General features: G+C 42.5%; 1 protein-coding gene across 7 annotated transcripts in view, besides 1 other annotated feature; it reads right to left on the bottom strand.

The window, feature by feature from the left end:
• Positions 1-21,068, bottom strand: part of ARHGEF4 (Rho guanine nucleotide exchange factor 4) — a 210,340-nt gene that overhangs the window by 48,263 nt on the left and 141,009 nt on the right. The window lies entirely within an intron of this gene.
• Positions 12,210-13,028: an enhancer, noted in NCBI's record as "H3K4me1 hESC enhancer chr2:131743536-131744354 (GRCh37/hg19 assembly coordinates)". NCBI's record gives its function as "activates a minimal SCP1, AML or CMV promoter by ChIP-STARR-seq in naive H9 embryonic stem cells {active_cell/tissue: H9 hESC(naive)}" and the evidence as "EXISTENCE:reporter gene assay evidence [ECO:0000049][PMID:30033119]".

Below are 21,068 nucleotides of genomic sequence, written 5' to 3'. Positions count from 1 at the left end.
ACACAGACAACCCCAATTGCTGATGAGGATGTGGAACAACAGGAGCTCTCATCCATGGCTTGCGGGAATGCAAAATGGTGCAGCCACTTTGGAACACAGTTTGTCAGTTTCTTATGAAACTAAATCTAGTCTTACCATATGATCCAGCAATCACACTCCTTGGTATTTACCCAAACGAGTCGAAAACATGTTCACACAAAACGTGTACACAAATGTTTATAGCAGCTTTATTCATTACTGACAAACTTGAAAGCAACCAAGATGTCCTACAGTAGGTGAATGGATAAACAAACTGTGATACATATACACAACGACAAATTATTCAGCAAGAGAGAAAAAGGAGCTATGGAGCTATGAAGCCATAAAAGACACAGAGGAAACCCAAATGCATACTGGTAAGTGAAAGAAGCCCATCTGAAAACGCTGTGCACTGTGGGATTTCAACTACATGACATTACAGAAGAGGCAAAACCACGAAGAAGGGAAAAAATTATCAGTGGCCAAAGGTGCGGGGAGAATAGGTGGAGTGCAGGGGATCATTAGGGCACTGAAATTTCTCTGTATGGTACTGGATGGTAGACACCTGTCATTACACATTTGTCAAATCTCATAGGATATAAACACACAAAGTGAACCCTAACCAACACACCAGACTAACCAAGATGTTAATAACTGGTGACAGGGTGAGGGGTTTATAGGAACACTCTGTACTCTCTGCTTCATTTTTCTATAAACCTAAAACTGCTTGAAAAAATAAAGTCCATTCATGTTAACAATGATAGCACAATTTTACACATGCTAAAAGGTTAGGAAATATATAAATACTACAATAAGTATGGCACTATGTGAAAAAGACTTGTGATTTGCATGTAGAAGTGGGCATCAAGAGCTTATGAGTTAGTGGGAAGTGGTGAAAGAAGGGGTCTCTGAGGTCAGAGGCAAGCTGTGACTCCAGAAGTGGTGGTGTGGCTCATGACACACAGAGTGAATCCATGTATAGCTGGACACTATCCCAGGTGTGCGTCTGTGTGTTCCTACGAAGCTCTGCTCCTGGGGGAGGTGTGCGTCTGTGTGTTCCTATGCAGCTCCACTCTTGGGGCACATGGGGGGCAATATTCTGCATTAAGTGGGGGCAGTATTCTGCATTCACCTGGTGTTTCTAGTGGATGAAATTGCACATAAGCTAACATGAAATTTGCATTATACTCAAACGGTTCCCTAACACATCAATCATTTTGGAACAAATTTGAGTTTTCAAAACAAGCATTAAAGCAGAACAGGCCATATACGAAGGCAGAAAATACAGTCTATGCACTCATTACCAGCTTCAACCTTGCAGAATTAGGATTAGAACTGCTCAACATAGAAACTATCTTAACTTCACAAAGGTTATTGCCAAAATCCGCGGCGCACACTCTATGTAATGGAGAAAGTTAAGATGGGTTTGCTTCAAGACAGAAAACCAGAGAAGAATGCACGTGATGCCTGCTGCTGTTTACCAGGAAGCCAGAGATCTTGCTTATGCTGTAAGTGAAGCACAAGAAACAAAAGGCACTGGATTATAGGAGAAAAAGAAGTCACAATTTAGAAATGACCTAATCATCTACCAAGAAAAAAAATACATAACAAAAGCATCAAACTATGAGAACTAGTAAGAGAGTTCAGATAGATGCTTTAAAGTATTTTTTAAATTACACCAGCAATAACAACCTGCTAGAAGGTTGTATTCATAATAGCAAAACGAGCTGAACAATAAAAGCCTTGTGGGGAAAGGGAAGCTGGATCCCCATCAACACACACAAAAGGGGGCTCCACTTGACCTAAAGCCTTGTACATGAATAGAAATGTATAAAATTAAAAGTTCATAATATAAGATAAATAAGGGCAGTGACTTCTTTAGTAATAGCACAAGGCAGAAGCCATAAACCAGCAATAGTGATTGCTCGATTTTTATGCAGTAAAAGATAAGATGGCAGTTAGCTGACAGACTGTGAGAATATATTTGCAATATTTATATCCAACAAAGAATAATATATTCAAAATATAAAAGGAGCTCTTGCAAATCAACAAGAAAAAGACAGAAACCCAAACAGAAAGATTGTAATTGGAGAAATGCAAATTAAAATGATGACTTGTCACTTTACATCCAATAGACTTGAAGAAAATTACAAAGTTGGAAGATTCTGGGTTTTGGTGGTGGTATGGGGGATGCAGGACGTCTCATGCTGTTGGTGGAGAGTATACTGGTGCGCACACTCTGAAAAAGTCACTGGGTAGCATTTAATTAAAACAAATGCAGGTATTCTCTAAGGCCCAGCAGTCTCTTCCTGGATAGGCATCCACCAAAATTCTGACACAGTTTACAATGGGACATTTACAACACTAGATTTTTTGTGATACTGATTGTGCCAGTAGACAGTTGAAGGCAATCCAGGTATTTATCACTGGAATAATTGATAAAATGTGGGAGATGCACATCATGGACTACAGAGAGAATCAAAGGACTGAAAATATACACAGCAACAGAGGTCTTAAAAATATAACGATAAGTGACTTCTGCTTTTGGTAATGGCAGTCTATAATTCAAAAAATTCACTAGTGGAGAACAGTTAGAAAAACTAGACAAAATATAAAACACATGCACTTCAAGACACGAGACGGCTACTAAAATGCGAAGAACAGCCAGGTTAGGACACAGAGGGAACGGGCACAGGCAGGTAAGCCGAGTGTGCAGGGCTGCCTTGCCTGGGGAGCCAGGGTGCCCATTCCTGATGAAACAGAAGTATGGTTGAAAGGCTGAATAGGCTGGGCGTGGTGGCTCATGCCTGTAATCCCAGCACTTTGGGAGGCCGAGGCAGGTGGATCATGAGGTCAGGGGTTCGAGACCAGCCTAACCAACATGGTGAAACCCCGTCTCTACTAAAAATACAAAAATTAGCTGGGCATGGTGGCGGGCGCCTGTAATCCCAGCTACTCAGGAGGCTGAGGCAGGAGAATTGCTTGAACCTGGGAGGCGGAGGTTGCAGTAAGCCGAGATCGCGCCACTGCACTCCAGCCTGGGCGAACACAGCAAGACTCTGTCTCAAAAAAAAAAAAAAAAAAGGTGAATAATACTTTTAATAACTTCAAGGGGCTGGGGTGAGAGCAACTGGATGCAAGAGTGCCCCAAGGGGTGACAGTGGAGATCTCACTTTGTGGTGGGACTACGCATGGCTGTAAGCTAGAAGCATGGGCGAGTTCTACATGGAGAGGCCCCTGCAGGACGTGGCTCAGCTCTAAATAATTAGAAATTGGACCGAAGTAACCTTAATTGCTAGTTCTCAGAGTTCCTTGGCAGAAGCAAATATAAATCCTCTCTGGAGAAAGATAATATCATCATAAGCCAAAAATTATTGTCATAAAGTATTCTGCAGATACTTTATTCATAACCAAATAAAATATAACCAGGCACATGTGGAGGAGAGGCAACATGCACAACAGGAGGTAACTTCAATAGCTGCAGATCCACAAGAGGTCCAGATGATGGCGTCGCTAAACACAAACGTTAGCACTAATATACTCGCGGGCTCACGGAGGTAGAAGGCAAGGTTGACTATCTCAATGGAGAAGTAAAAACTCCAGGAAAGAAACAAACGGAAGCTCTTGAGTCAAAGTATTCAATAACTGGAAACAAACTCAATGAATATGTTTAACAACATATTAGGTACAGCTGAATAAAGAAGAGAGGTCAGACAGAAAGATTCAGAGAAAAACAGACAGAGACAAAAGGACAGCAAGCACAGAGGAGAAGGCGAGAGATGCTGCACATTCATTCACAGGGAAGTTTCCATGTAATTACAGTCCCAAAAGATGAGACAGAGGGAATGCTGGAAGCAATGTTTGAAAAGAATGGCTGAGAATTTTCCAAAATAAGTGACAGACATCAAGCCATGAATCCAAGAATCCCTATGGACTGTAAGCTGAGTAAAATTTCAAATAACCACATCTGGGCACATCTTTAAGACTGCTGAAACACCAGACACAGATAAAATGCTGTGTGGAGTCCGAGGAGGAGTCAGGCTGACTCTGAAGTGCAGAAGTTAGAACAGCTGATGTTTCAACAGAAGCAATGGAAATCAGAACACAATGTAATGGCATCTATAAAGAGTCCACTTCTATACACAAAATGCAAGGAATTAAGATTTAAAAAGGCATTTTCAGATAAGAAGAAAACAAAAACAAACACTGAAAGAATCCATCTCCAGAAGGAAAACACTCCAGAAAGAATCAATCTCCTTAAGGAAAACACTAGGTTTCTTTATCCTGGCAGAAAAGAGAAGGATCCCCGACAGGAAGGTGGAGATTCAGGAAGCAATGAAGAGCGATGAAGATGCAAGTATATGGGAAAACATAAATGAACATGAACTTTACAAAACAACGTCTTATTGGACCAAAAAATATATGGTGAAAAAAATGTAGAGAATTAAATCTATGAAAACAATGGCCTATAAGTCAGGAAGGGGTAAATGCATGGTCTGGGAAGATGTTAAAAGTCCTGATTTATATTGATTTATATTTGGCTTTTATAAGATAGGTCTGCCCACATGATTTAATTTCTAAGATAAACACTAAAATAATAATAAGAGTGTATACATTTCAAGCTAACAAAAGACTTAAAAATGGAAAAATATAAAATGGCCAAGCCAGGAAAAGTGAAAAAGGAATAAAAAAGCAATTCAAAATATGGGGGACAAATGTAAAGATTATTAAGATGGAAGATTTAAACCCAAATATATTACTAGTTGTGTTGCACATAAATGAACTAAATATTCCAATTAAAAGACAAAGGTTATTATCTTGGATTAAAAAATTCACTCACTTGCTGTTTATGAGACATATCTAAAGCCACAGAAAGGTTAAATATAAAAGAACAGGCCAAGCGTGGTGGCTCATGCCTGTATCCCAGCACTTTGGGAGCCAGAGGCAGGTGGATCACCTGAGGTCACGAGTTCAACACCAGCCTGGCCAACATGGTGAAACCCCATCTCTACTAAAAATACAAAAATTAGCCAGGTGCGGTGGTGCCTATAGTCCCATCTACTCAGGGGGATGAGGCAGGAGAATTGCTTGAACCTGGGAGGCAGAGGCTGCAGTGACAGCCAAGATCACACCATTGCACTCCAGCCTGGGTAACAGCAAGACTCCATCTCAAAAACAAACCAACAAAAAATTAAAAAATAAAAGAACCAAAAAAGATATGTCCTACAGACTCTAGCCAAAACAAAGCTAGAATAGCTGAATTTATGTCAAAGTAGACTTTAAGACAAAATGCATTACCAGAGAAAAAGAAAAACATTTAATAATGATAAAGGCTAATACATAAGATAACAAAATCTAAATTTGTATGCTTCTATTAAGATAGCCTCTAAATACATAAAGCAAATAGAAAAAAATAAAAATCCTACTGAAAGATTTAGGCATACTTTCCTTAGCAACTGATAAAACAAGCAGACAAAGACAGAGAGATTTGACCTAAATGAAATTCTGCACCCAACAAGAAGAAAATACACATTCTTTTTAAGTACATATGAAACACTAAAATTATTGTGAAAGTCAATGCAGTTTCAAAAGGTTTCAAAGGGTTGAAATCATACAAAATTTTTCTATATCCTAATACAAATATGCCAGAAATTTTTTAAAAAGTTGATTAGAATATCTGTGTATATTTGAAAATTAATACACTTCTCAATAACTCATGGGTCAAAAAGAAATTTCAATTAAAATTAGAAAATATTCAAACTGAATGATAATTAAAATGATTAAAAAACTGTTAGAATGCAACTTGAACTGCTTGGAGGAAAATATATAGCCTTAGGCTTGTACTGGAAAAGAGAGCAGCCTTGATGTCTATTTTTGTTTTGTTTTGTTTTTGAACAGTCTTGCTCTGTTGCCCAGACTGGAGTGCACTGACGCTATCTCAGCTCACTGCAACCTCCGCCTCCAGGATTCAAACGATTCCCCTGCCTCAGCCTCCCGAATAGTTGGGATTACAGATGTGCACAATCACGCCTGCCTTATTTTTGCATTTTTAGTAGAGACGGCGTTTTGCCATGCTGGCCAGGCTGGTCTCGAATCCCTGGCCTCATGTTATCTACCCACCTCAGCCTCCCAAAGTGCTGGGATTACAGGTGTGATGTACTGAACCTGGCCGATGTCTGTACTTTAACCTCACTCTTGAATAATACTTTATTCAGCTAAATAATCCTTAATACTTTAAAGTTGTTGCATTCTCTCCTGGCTTGCACTGATACTGTGTCCAGAATTGGTGGGTTCTTGGTCTCACTGACTTTAAGAATGAAGCCGCAGACCCTCGCGGTGAGTGTTACAGCTCTTAAGGTGGCGCGTCTGGAGTTTGTTCCTTCTGATGGTCGGATAGGTTCGGAGTTTCTTCCTTCTGGTGTTCCCGCCCGGTTCGTGGTCTCGCTGGCTCAGGAGTGAAGCTGCAGACCTTCCCCGTGAGTGTTACAGCTCTTAAGGCAGCGCATCTGGAGTTGTTTGTTCCTCCCGGTGGGCTCGTGGTCTCGCTGGCTTCAGGAGTGAAGCTACAGACCTTCGCGGTGAGCGTTACAGCTCTTAAAAGCAGCATGGACCCAAAGAGTGAGCAGTAGCAAGATTTATTGCAAAGAGCGAAAGAATAAAGCTTCCACAGTGTGGAAGGGGACCCAAGCAGGTTGCCAGTGCTAGCGCAGGCAGCCTGCTTTTATTCTCTTATCTGGCCCCACCCACATCCTGCTGATTGGTAGAGCCCAGTGGCCTGTTTTGACAGGGCGCTGATTGGTGCGTTTACAATCCCTGAGCTAGATACAAAGGTTCGCCTCGTCCCCATCAGATTAGTTAGATGCAGAGTATGGACACAAAGGTTCTCCAAGGCCCCACCAGAGCAGCTAGATACAGAGTGTCGATTGGTGCACTCACAAACCCTGAGCTAGACACAGGGTGCTGACTGGTGTGTTTACAAACCTTGAGCTAGATACAGAGTGCTGATTGGTGTATTTACAATCCCTGAGCTAGACATAAAGATTCTCCACGTCCCCACCAGACTCGGGAGCCCAGCTGGCTTCACCCAGTGGATCCCGCACCGGGGCTGCAGGTGGAGCTGCCTGCCAGTCCCGCGCCATGTGCTCGCACTCCTCAGCCCTTGGGTGGTCGATGGGACTGGGCGCTGTGGAGCACGGGGTGGCGCTCATCTGGGAGGCTCGGGCTGCACAGGAATCCATGGAGGCGGGGGAAGGCTCAGGCATGGCGGGCTGCAGTCCCGAGGCCTGCCCCGCGGGAAGGCAGCTAAGGCCCAGTGAGAAATCTAGTGCAGCGCGGGTGGGCTGGCACTGCTGGGGAACCCAGTACACCCTCTGCAGCCGCTGGCCCGGGTGCTAATTCCCTCATTGCCCGGGGCCGGCAGGGCCGGCCGGCTGCTCCGAGTGCCGGGCCCGCCAAGCCCACGCCCACCGAACTCCAGCTGGCCCGCAAGCGCCGCACACAGCCCTGGTTCCCGCTCGCGCCTCTCCCTCCACACCTCCCTGCAAGCTGAGGGAGTGGGCTCCGGCCTTGGCCAGCCCAGAAAGGGGCTCCCACACCGCAGTGGTGGGCTGAAGGCCTCCTCAAGTGCCGCCAAAATGGGAGCCCACGCAGAGGAGGCGCCAAGAGCGAGCGAGGGCTGTGAGGACTGCCAGCACTCTGTCACCTCTCAATACTGCTAATAAGCAGGTTTTCGGTCTAGTATCCTTTGGTGGGTCATCTGCCCCCACCCATACATCTCTCTCATTGCTTTAAATATTGTCTACTTGGTCTTTGGTGTTCCACACCATCATGAGTGGCACACTGTTATTGTTGAAGATTCACATCTCTCCTTCATTTTGGAAAATCTGTATCCATTCATTTTTCAAATATTGTCTTAGTCTATTTTCTCCTTTTTGAACACCTGCTGGATATATAACTTTCTCAAATGCCCTGTATCACTAAATAGGAACCAAATTTTAGATTATTTCTCAATTTGTAAATTTCCCAATTTGCAGACTGTGTGAGTTGATGTAAATCTGAACCCTATATCTGTGTGAGGTACATGTCTAAGATTTCAAATTCTCAAGGGGAGAATTTTTCCTTTACCAATAATTCAAAGATAGTAAGAATTAAGGGAAAAAACAACCCACTCTTCCACTGAGTTCTCGGAGGGTCTCAGGTTTGAGTAAGGTCTTTAGCTCCATCGCTAAGCCTTGCATGGGTCCCAATCTGTTCCCAAGTGGATAATGACTCCAGCTGCTGTGTTTCCCAGGCTGAATCTCCATCTCCTCCCTACCGGTTGCAGAATCACTGTGGGATCCTCAACTCTCCTCTTCAGGGCCTCCCACTTTGATTCCTACGAGTTTAGCTGTACATTTAAGGTAACTTTTGTTGTTTTTTATTCAGCATAACTAGGGTTTTATAGCAAGAGTTTTTCAAGTCAGCTCACCATCCTGCAGAACTGGGAAGTTCTTTCCCAGTGCACAAAATGCTAGCTGGATTGCACCTTCTAGGGTTCTAAAACTCACCAAGAAGCTAATAATAATAATAATAAATCTATTTTAACAGACAAATAATGGAATCTTGCTGTGTTAAGTGTCAGACTGGTGAACTTTTCAATTCTTTTTTCTTTTTTACCAATGCCCAAAACACTTCTATGCACAAATGCTTTAACACATCTCTTCAAACTGTTTGTAAGACATATTTTCCCCTCAGCTACAGAGATTTAAAAAGAGAAATGGAATTGAGTTCAGCAGAAAGAAGCTTAAATTTTGTACACTGTCCATTTTCATTAAAAAAGTAAAAATAATAAAAGTGCTATTAAGAATTTGTTCAAAAACTTCAGTTACTATCCAGGGATCATTACTTAAGTGGGCTAATTTCCTGTACCTTTTCCACCCTCACAGTTCCTGACCAGTTCTTGATATTTGGAATGGTGACCTCAGCCTTACATCATAACCATCAGTGATGGTCCTTAGCGGAAGCTGGAGAAAGATTAAACATGGATTAAGTATTCACTATGTGCCAAATACTGGACTAGAAGCTGTCCATTCAATATCTCCATTCACAGAGTATCATTAGTCCCATTTTAGAGGTGAGAAAACTCAGGCTCCAGATTAGATAACCTGCTCAGGCCAGTGCTAATCCGATGTCAGACATAAGGAGGGTCAAACACAGGCCCCGCCGTCATAAAGTTGACAGAGACAAGCCTAGCACTTCACCCCACTCACAAATCATACCAGCAGAAATATGGAAGGGAGGCTACAGGGTGATCCCAGCTATGACTAAATGCACAGAAAACAAAAATCTGGAAGGAAATACAGTATGCTAAAATGTTACAAATTGATCTAACTGGGAAGAGAGGTGATGGGTAATCTTTTCCTATTCCGTTTTGACACTTGTTCTTTTTTCTTTTCAAAGTCATAGTCATGTGCAATGCTAAAAATATGAAATGCTTCTATTGTTTTGTAAGGTATGTTATTTATGATATTGTATATTTTCCTAACATAAACACAACAGCTCTAATAAGTGATTGAAAATAGAAGATAATCCTGTTTTAGGGATTCAAAGCACATGGTTAAAAAAACTACAGTCAAAATCTCATTCAAATTTATATCAGAAACCTTCAAATTTATATACACTTTGATACACCAAACCCATTTCTGGAAGTTTGTCTTCAGAAAATAATTATGGAGGCTGGGTGCGGTGGCTCACGCCTGTAATCACAGCACTTTGGGAGGCAGAGGTGGGCAGATCACCTGAGGTTAGGAGTTCGAGACCAGCCTGACCAACATGGAGTAACCCCATCTCTACCAAAAATACAAAATTAGCCGTGCATGGTGGTGCATGCCTGTAGTCCCAGCTACTCAGGAGGCTAAGGCAGGAGAATCACTTGAACCCAGGAGGTGGAGGTTGCAGTGAGCCAAGATCGTGCCATTGCACTCCAGCCTGGGCAACAAGAGCGAAACTCCATCTCAAAAAAAAAGAAAAAAGAAAATAATTATATTTTTGGAATCTTTCTCTCTCTCTCTCTCTCTCTCTCTCTCTCTCTCTATATATATATATATATATATATATATATACACACACACACACACACACACACAAATATATGTGGAGAAGAATACTCATTACAATGTGGCTTAAAATACTAGAAAATTAAAAACAACCTAGATGGTCAACAATAGTATATTGATTACAAATAGTATGACATATCTGTATGATGGACTAACATGTAGCCATGAAAATAATATTGTTGAGAAATATTTAGTGACATCCAGTGAATCCCACAATATATTATTAAGTGGGGGAAAACAGGTCATGAAATAAAGCGTACACTGTGAGCTCTACTTCATTCATAAAAAAAGCATATACACAGAACCAAAGCTAGCCAATACACACCAAAATGTTCATAGCAATTGTTTCTGGGTTGGAGATTTGGAATGATTTTTTTGGTAAAATTTCTATAATCAGCATACATTACTTTGGTAATAATAAAAACCAGTAACAGTGAATTTTAAAAGTCTCTGAAACAGAGCCAATCTCCTTTCTTAGTGCCCACACACCACCATTTCATAGGGGATCCCAATCTCCAGCCTGCTGAGGCAGACACTTTCTGGGATGCAGCACTCCTGCTCACACGTGGCTTGGAGCTGTGAGTCTGGTCTTCCAAGGCTGGCAGAGAGCTTCCCACCTGAGGTGGCTCCTGTGAGCCTGGGGACACGGCTGCGGAGGAGGTGACTGCCAGACTCCCAGGGCACTCACCGGGCACCGACAGAGCCACCTGTCCACAGCAGACACATCTGACCTGTTTTTCTGCCAGAGTCCTTCATTCCTTCCATAAATGTATTGAGCATTTTACTGTCTGTGTGCCAGGCAGTAAATTAGGAGCATGACTTCCTTTAATCCTCATGAACGCCCTTGGAATCATGTTATCTTCCTGATTTTACGGATGAGAAGTCTGCCGCAGAGAATTAGGTCACCTGTCAGTCTGTCACAGTGAGTGGTACAGCTGGGGTCCAAGCCCAGCGTCTGTGTGGCTCCCAAGCCCAGCTTCCCTTACAGTACTCCAACAGCTCCCAAGACGTCTCTTAAAATAAATTCAAAGATCATTTCTGATGCTTAGAGCATTAATCCATATCTCTCACTACATTCACATTATTTTTCCATGACAATCCCACAGCCACCCTGGCCTTGGCCTAGCTCACAGTGCTCACTGCTGGGGGTCTGCAGGCTCTCAGCCAGTGAGAGGTGATGCCAGCTGGACTTCCTGGGTCGAGTGCGGACTTGGGGAACTTTCCTGTCTTACAAGAGGATTGTAAAATGCACTAATCAGTGCTCTGTAAAACGCACCAATCAGCAGGATTCTAAAAGTAGCCAATAATGGGGAGGATTGAAAAAAGGGCACTCCGATAGGACAGAAACAGAACATGGGCGGGGACAATAAGGGAATAAAAGCTGGCCACCAGCAACCAGAAGCTGCAACCCCCTTGGGTCCTGTTCCATGCTGTGGAAGCATTGTCCTTTCGCTCTTTTGCTACCGCTCACCCGTGCCATCTTTAAGTGCTGTAACACTCACCGCAAAAGTCTGTGGCTTCATTCTTGAAGTCAGCAAGACCACAAACCCACCGGGCGGGAACCAACTCCAGACACACCAGGACCCCAGGGAGAAAGCTGAACAAAGTCCACCACTGTCTCTAGCACTTGGGGAGTCCTTCTGGAATCTGGGAAGGCAGGGCAGCCTTCCTCCTTCCAGAGCCAGCTCCCCACGACCTGCCCAGATGGTGTGTGGTACCAGGCAGTGCAGTGCTGCCCACAGCTCTGCTCCCTGGCCCTGCAGCAGGCCAGGCCTCTGCCTGCAGTGGCTCCTCCCCACTGTGGGGGTCCAGCACAGCTGTGCTTCCCAGCACTCAAGAGGCTGCTGCAGGACCACGGGGGGATGCACAGAAGAGCCAGCGTTGGCTTGCTGTGTAAGGATTCTCAATTCCCTGCAGATTTTCAGGGCGAGATTGTGGTCCTCCGCCTTCACCTCCTGGTGCAAACCACCTAGGATTGTGTGACCCAAGGCTCTCCTGCGGGCCTAGGCAGCTTCAGAGCCTGCTAATGTCCTGCCAAAAGCAGGAGAAAGAAGGCAGCCAGAGAAAGGGAACTATTGGGAGAGCAGGGACTTGCAGACAATTATGAAGTGACTAATTTCCCCCAAATTATTATTTCTGTTGTCTCACATCTAGCTCCTTCAAAATCCTGCTTGCTTAGGGCGACTCTTCATTCTTCCCGCTGGGCCCAAGTTGCTGCTGGTGGAGGGTCCCAAGACCGTCCGGTGGTCACCCTGGCTGCCCCTCATGGCCTCCTGTGTACAGAACAGCTGCACTCTCACACCAGGCGGCGCAGATCCCTTTCCACCTGGCCAGCACAGGGCCTCTTCCCTGCTGAAGGCCCCAGCGCCCTCTGAGCTGCTTTCTAGCAATCTGAGTCCTCTGCTGCACTTGTATAAATGGCATCTTTTTAACCAGACTAGCAGCTCCACAAGGAGGCCTCCCAGAACGTCTGTCTGGCTCAGTGGGGACTCAGCCTGTGCCTCCAGGCCAGGGCAGCCAGAATCCTCCCTTAGTGCAGACACTAGGCCTCTCCATGTGAACACACTGCCACATGCAACCTGGGGCCCTGGGCTGCCCATTCCAGCCAGAGCCCACAAAGAGGGACGCTGATGCAGAGAAAGGCAGTGAAACCACACACGATGCACACATGCAACACACCCTATGCACACACATGCACGTGCAACACAACATACACATGCAACACACACCATGCACACAAACAATATACACATGCACCATGCACTACATGCACACACAATAGACACAACACACACAAAACACGTCATGCACACTACACACATAACATATACTATACATAACACACAAAACATGCACGCACAACACACATCATACATGTTCAACACATACCACACACAACATATGCATTCAGTGCACACCACACACACACAACACTCAACACACACATGCAACACACCCTACGCACGCACATCACTCACAATGCACACAACATATACAATACACACCACGCACACACAACATATACAAAACACACCATGCACGTACAACACACACAACATATACACAACAAAAAACATGCACACACAACACAAAACACATATCATGCATGCAAAACACACACAACACACACCACACACACAAGACACTTGAAACCTACCCAATAGTGCCACAGACAGTTGTTTTTGCATAAACATAGAAATGGATCCTTCTGCTGTTGAAGTCTGAAACTTGTATTTGCTTGATGCAAGTTCCTTCCTCAGGAAAGGACTTTCAGGAAGTATCAAAGAACTGAAACTCATCACATCACCCCCCCAGATGCCTCCTTGCCCCTCCCTAGTTCCTGTTTTCCCACACACTGTTACTTTTCTTCCCTGCTGTATAAACCCCTAGTTTTAGTCAGTCAGGGAGATGGATTTGAGACTGAGCTCCCATTTCCTCGGCTGCAGCACCCGATTATAGCCTTTTTCTGTAGCAATACTTGTCTCAGTGATTGGTTTTCTGTGTGGTGAGCAGCAGAACCTACACCAAACCCCTGGTGTTTTGGTAACAGATTTTGGTTCCCTGACCAGGAATGTGTTGTTTGTGGTTCCGCTGCCTTGGACCTGGGGTCTCAGAAGCCCTCCTAAGCTGCCTGCCCACTTTTGGCTGGAAGCGAGTTTCCATCTCTCTTTGGCTTTGCCTTAGCTGGCCCCGACTGCATTCCTGATTGCCTTGGAAGAAGCCCCTTCCTAGAAGCACCTCTACATCCAAAGAGGTGCATGTCCTTTTTGGGCCCATATAGCAGGATCTGCTCCTCTCAGTTTGGGAAAATTTTAAAGGAATTTCCATTTGCAGGTTGAACAAGCCCTGCAAAGAGCTTGATGGGGGAGCACCCTGACTGTTGTTTCAGTATGGATACTCTTGGGGGCTTGTTTGTAATTGTGTGGTGTGCGGGCAAGTGCATGTCTTTTGTAGGTACCAGACAGCAGGATCAGCTCCTCTCAATTTGGGAAATTCCTAAGGAATTTTTGTTTGCAAAAACCAAAAGCCTAACCGATGGAGAAAGGAAGCACCCCAACTGTTTCAGTTTGGACACTTGGGGCTTGTTTGTTGCAGCAGCAACTGGATTGTGTTCTGGCGATTGTGTGTGTGTGTCTGATATAGTCATGGGAAATTAGAATTTGGTAAACTTGATTTTTTTTTTTTTTTTTAAGACAGAGCCTTGCTCTGTCAACTAGGCTGGAGTGCAGTGGCACAATCTTGTCTCACTGCAACCTCTGCCTCCCGGGTTCAAGCGATTCTCCTGCCTCAGCCTCCCGAGTAGCTGGGATTACAGGCGCAGCCACTACACCCGGCAATTTTTGTATTTTTAGTAGAGACAGGGTTTCACCATGTTTGCCAGGCTGGTCTTGAACTCCTGACCTCAGGTGATCCACCCACCTTGGCCTCCCAAAGTGCTGGGATTACAGGTGTGAGCCACTGCGCCTGGCCATAAACTTGATATTCTTTTGCAATACCGTTTGGCCACAATATCGTTTGGAATGTGGAGTTTGCTGTTAAATGGGAAAGTGGGTTGGAGTTGCATGTATCCAGGTTTCTGTGCTGCTGTTCTAAGCAGGGTTGAGCCTGCTTAGTATGTGGTGCTCTCCTTTGGTGCTGTTTGGCCACAATGTTCTTTGGAGTCTGGGGAGGTTGGGCCTTTGAAAATCAAACTGCTATGGAAACTACCCAAAATTTTGGTTCACAGCCTTCACCAGATTACCTACTGGGGCAAAAGAAGTGTAACCATGTAAAACCAGTATGTTTGTATTGCTATCTCATTGCTAGAGCTCTAAGGTAAAAGCTATTGGATCTTTGTGTGTGTACGCATATCTATATGTGTTTATTTGTATGTACACTTATTGTTATATGTTGTGTCTACCAAATTGGCTTATAAATAAAAGAGCACTCAGGCCGGGCATTGTGGCTCATGCCTGTAATCCCAGCACTTTGGGAGGCCGAAGCGGGCAGATCACAAGGTCAGGAGATCAAGACCATCCTGGCTAACATGGTGAAACCCCGTCTCTACTAAAAATACAAAAAATTAGCCGGGTGTGGTGGCGGACGCCTGTAGTCCCAGCTATTCAGGCGGCTGAGGCAGGAGAATGGCATGAACCCGGGAGGCGGAGCTTGCAGTGAGCTGAGATGGCGCCACTGTACTCCAGCCTGGGCAACAGAGCAAGACTCCATCTCAAAAAAAAAATTAAATAAATAAAATAAAATAAAAATAAATAAAAGAGCACTCATACATTAAGTAAATTAAGTCCAAGCTATTTTCAAGTTCATGTGACTTAAGTAAATCTTTACTAGCTTGCTTTAAAATGGTTGGTAAAATGAAAACAGGAATGTCTTCAGAATTGTCAGCATATATTTTTGTCTGGTTTTTATATTTGTCTCTGGGAGATATTTTGAGATGTCAGGGTTTGGCATGGAAGGTTATAAAACTATAAAGCTGGCCAAAACAAAATGATCTTCATGCAAATTTTTTGATAAGTCAGACTGTTATTGGTTTAATGAAAACAGCTGAATCTTCTGAGTTATTAGTGACAATGCCCATGTAGTTAACTTTAAGGTTCTTATTTCAGTGAACATCTGATATTCACAGATTATAAAATTGTTAAGAAGGAAATTACTAACTTTAAATGATGGTGTTTAATCTCTCAGTTTTCAGAAGTAATCTAGATAAACTGCTAAAAATGAAAGAATTGAGTACATGTAAATGGGATGTTTTAGGTAAACTTTTTGTGTAATTTAAAATCTGGAAATTATTTTTGATGCTCATTAGATATGCAGGTTGCTTCCAATTAAAAAAGCTTTGTGATATAGGAAAATATGTTTCTGAAAATTGTGGAACTGTTCTTAACTATATAAAATGTTCATATCTGATAGTTCAGGATTTCTTGCTTTTTAGGGTTTCACTAAAATTTAAGGTTACTAAGGATAAGAATTATAGTTAATAGTAATTCTGTATATAAATGTGCCAAAAGATGTATTAGAAAAACAGTAATTTTGTCTAATTCAGAAGTTATCTAAAAGTTAGTTCAAATTACACCTTTAAAAAGATTATTTATGAAACAAGGCAGTAGGAATCAGTAAGTAAGGGAGAGAGATGTGAAAAAAGTTATATATATGAAGATGTATTTTTGGTAAGGAAGGTTATAAAGAAAAGCTAATTTTGTATGAGAAAGAATCTTGTATGGTAAATTCTTTTGGCCTACAGTAAAATGGTAAGAAAGAAAAGAAGAAAGGAGGAGGAGGAGGGAAAGGAGGAGGAGGGGGAGGAGAAGGGGGAGGAGGAGGAGGCGAAAAAAGAAGGAAGAAAAAATCTGGGACTGAACAGAAAGCCCAGGCATGTCATGGATAATCTGTGTAAGTCACATGTAATTTTTTTCTGTTTCTCTGTGTGTCTATCTTCATGCACATACAGACAAAATAGAAAGTTGAAAAAGTTTAGATAGTAAAGCATTCTTTAAAACCTGATAGACAATTGGAGAAATTTGGCTAATTAACATTTTCATAGTTAAAGCTCTCAGTCCTGATTAAAATAAAATAAATATTATAAAAAAACGCAGGCCGGGCATGGTGGCTCATGCCTGTTATCCCAGCACTTTGGGAGGCTGAGGCACCTGAGGTCAGGAGTTCGAGATTAGCCTGGCCAACATGGTGAAACCCTGTCTCTACTGAAAATATGAAAACTAGCAGGGCGTGGTGGTGGGTGCCTGTAATCCCAGCGACTAGGGAGGCTGAGGCAGGGGAATTGCTTGAACCCAGGAGATGGAGGTTGCAGTGAGCCAACACAATGCCACTGCACTCCAGCCTCGGTGACAGAGTAGGACTCCATCTCAAAAAAAAATGTATTGGCAGTTTGGCAATTCTTTTTTACTGTAGTTAAGCATGAAGCCAGATTTAGTGTACATGTTTGTATTGCTTCACACTATGTTTGTTGTTTTGCATGGATAGTGCTGGCACTAGAGTACTTACTGGCCATGTGCCTAGAATGAATTTCTTGATTGCACAGGATGTATGGTAATATTGGTGGACTTAAGGATACTGACTTGTGTGATCAGGAATAAAATATTCATTATGTGGGGTTTTCTTGACTCTGGGTAACACTGCAGCCTCCAGGGTAACTGAGTGGGGAAAAGAATGGGGGGTCTGTTTCCTGTTTGTTTTTACTTCTTTTTTTTCTTTTTTTTTTTTTTTGAGATGGAGTCTCGCTTTGTCACCCAGGCTGGAGTGCAGTGGTGCAATCTTGCTCACTGCAACCTCCACCTCCCAGGTTCCAGCTATTTTCCTGCCTCAGCCTCCTGAGTAGCTGGGACTACAGGCGCCTGCCACCACACCTGGCTAACTTTTGTATTTTTTGTAGAAACGGGGTTTCACCATATTGGCCAAGCTGGTCTCGATCCCCCGACCTTGGGATCCGCCTGCCTTGGCCTCCCAAAGTGCTGGGATTACAGGCCTATTTTCACTTCTAGTTTTTATTTGTTGCTGTTTGTTCTCCTTTGGGTTTTTCTTGTGTATGCGTAGATATAAAACTGATGTTTTTTAGTTTTTAGTAGAAGGCATTTATTTGGTTCTGTGAATAATTATTTTGTTTCCTATGCATTTCTAGCAAGTCATTATTTGTTCTATTTATCTAGAATTCCCAGGCTATCTTTGTTTGGTCTTCAGGAATGGATGGAGCACAACAGCCATTTGAAATTTGGTTGGATTTGCTTGCCTCTAATGATCTACAGAGCTATGAGAGTTTTAAGGTTCCCAGCCACAAAAAAATGAAATAATAAAAGACTTAAGTTCTGAACAGAAATAGCATATTACAAATTTTGTAATTTGGCAAAAGTAGGTGAGAACAGAAATGTTTCAATGGTGTTTATATTCAAGGTAACTCAATTCAATCAACAATTTGAGTTGGTTTCAGATCTTTTCCTTTAGGTGGTGAAGAAAAACTGTGATATGGGTACATGGTTTTAATATTCAGGAAAGATTGGCCTTATCCTTAAGGAAATTATATTGAGTAGAATTTCTCTCAAACTAATTTAAAGTGACATTCACTTGGATTAATTAGTAATTTTAAAAAAGGTGAGACTTCCTGGTGATTTGTGATCTCAAGCTGTTTATCACTGATGGGCCTTCATGTATGTACCTGAAAACAAATTATGTGCACATGCTGCACTGGTTTACAGATTTGAGTGGTGAAGGTTGCCTAACCAGTCGTCAGTACTGTATCTAGAAACCAATCTTAGAAATGTGTGTTGATGTGTTTTCAAAATAGCTGAAAAGAAATTGCTGTGTGCTTATTCTTACTTTCTCCCTGTTTCGTTGTATAGTATTTAAGTGAAAGATTACTTCTCATACTAAATTTCCAAAACTGATATTTGCATTTATCATTTTTTAATGATAAAGAAAAAATGTTAGTTAGTCTTATTTTGCTAAGTCTGGCATAGGACTTATAATTTTTTTTTTTTTTTGAGACATGGTCATACTCTGTCACACAGGGTGGATGGCATGATCTTGGCTCACTGCAACCTCTGCCACTGGGCTCAAGTGATTCTCCTGCCTCAGCCTCCCAAGTAGCTGGGACCACAGGCACCCACCACCATGCTCAGCTAATTTTTGTATTTTTAGTAGAGATGGGGTTTCACCATGTTGGCCAAGCTGGTCTCAAACTCCTGAGCTCAAGTGATCCACCTGCCTCGGCATCCCAAATTGCTGGGGATACAAGCATGAGCCACCATGCCCATCCAGACTTACAACGTTTTTTATGTTTTTGTTTACAGTTATGTTACTAGAATACTAGCAATTAGACATATGTGATGAGTAACCTAACTACTTTAATACAGTGGTTTGAAGTGTTGCTGGCAGTAACTTCTAAACACCAATTACATTGTTTTAATTTGTAACATGTTAGAGAGAATGATAGTTAAGTATTAGGTCTTATTGTTTGAGAAAGTTTCCTCTCTATCAAAGCGTAAACATTTTATATTATAATTTTCGCTACCTGAATGACTATTTTATAGAAACTTGTGATCCTATTTTGTGATATTGGGTGTCTGTCTGAAACCTTTGAAATCTGACAGATTTTCTAACAGCAAAATTTCAGGTTTTTTTTTTTTTTTTTTTTTTAGATGGAGTCTTGCTTTGTCACCGAGGCTGGAATGCAGCGGCACAATCTTGGCTCACTGCAACCTCCACCTCCTGGGTTCAAGCCATTCTCCTGACTCAGCCTCCCGAGTAGCTGGGATTACAGGCTCCCGCTACCAAGCCCATCTAATTTTTGTAGTTTTAGTAGACATGGGGTTTCACCATGTTGACCAGGCTGCTCTTGAATTCCTGACCTCAGGTGATCTGCCCACCTCGGCCTCCCAAAGTGCTGGGATTACAGGCATGAGCCATCACGCCTGGCCAATTTCAAGTTTTAAATTCAGTCTTTTTGTCCTCAAACTAAACTTTTTGGATATTAGGTTCCCTGAAGTTCAAGAGAGACATGGTTGGGATTATTAGGCTTGTTATATTAGAACTATGCAGGAAGCATTGTCAAATCTGAGGTGGTGTTTAGCTTCCTTCAAGTTATATTTATATAGATGTGTTGCTAACATGGGTTCTAGGATTATATGAGATTCCTAAAATTCTGATATGCCTTAATATATGTTGTCAGTAATAGTTATGATTGTCACGTTAAATTGTTGTATGCCACAGAAATAACCAAATTTTCCTGTCAACGGTGTCATTAACTATGGCTGTCTTAAGACTTTTGTCATCCACAATTGATGTTTTACTTTGATCCTTCTCAAAAAAAACTGGCTTAGAATTAGCTACAGTCCAAGGCTTACTTCTTTGGAGGAGTTCTTGAAAAGGACTCGTGAGTGCAGGTTTCTGATAACTTTGGAGATTGTGCCATTGGATTAGAGGGAGAACTTCCACTGCACAAATTGAAAGGCTGATGTGTTCCTGAAGATTGCTAACCCAATATGAAGCAGAGCAGGAGGTGACTGCATGGACTGAACTACTGCAGGACAGAAATAATTTTTTTTATGGCTTTTGTTGTTTGAAATATTGCTGATTCTTTTTGTTTTGTTTTTCAGAGTCTGGAGAATTTTTTTTTTTTTGGAGCTATTTATAGCCTTGAAATATACTTTAAGTGTATTGAGTATACTTTTGTAAACAGAATTTGAGTCATATTTCTCTGCCTAATTTCTCCAGAATTTGTAAACTATTCGTGAATATTCTTCATTCATGGCAATGTGTAATTCTTTGCACAAAGACCATGTTTTCTTTTGTAATGCGACACAATTGAAGGGACTGGTTATTTTCTCAGGGCTTTGACTGAAATAGTCTTGTGAGATGTTCCAGCAAAGCCAACTTGGGAATCTATATGGACAGTGATTCTTGTTGCACTTTGTGTGAGTAATCAGGCCAAGAATATGGGACTGACACTTATTATGCAGCTAGGTTGGTCCTGCTGTGATTTGTCTTTGGCAGAAGTGTGGACCAGGGAGAAATATTGTATGTCAGAAGAAAACTCTATATTAGATTAACCTTCGATTCCTGGGTGGCTACATGGTCAGCCATGGTATGGAGCTGCCCACGACACCCCTCCTCAGCATGAAGCAGCCAGAAAGATCAATGACGAGATTCCTCATGATTGTGGAACTGATAAATAGAAAGGGGGGACTGAAACCAGCCCGAGGGTCCCATAGACAGTTGCTTTTGGATAAACATAGAAATGGATCCTTCTGCTGTTAAAGCTTGAAACTTGTATTTGTTTGATATGAGTTCCTTCCTCAGAAAAGGGATCTCAGGAAGTGTCAAAGGAGTGAAACTCACCAGATCACCACATCAGATGCCTCCTTGCCCCTCCCTAGGCCCTATTTTCTCACACACTGTTACATTTCTTCCCTCCTACATAAAGCCCTAGTTTTAGTTGGTCAGGGAGAT

This window comes from Homo sapiens, chromosome 2 (genome assembly GCF_000001405.40).
Source record: "Homo sapiens chromosome 2, GRCh38.p14 Primary Assembly".
In the NCBI taxonomy this organism is placed as follows: domain Eukaryota; kingdom Metazoa; phylum Chordata; class Mammalia; order Primates; family Hominidae; genus Homo; species Homo sapiens.
Note: the sequence above shows the minus strand (reverse complement) of the source record. Positions and strands in the feature narration are given on the sequence as shown.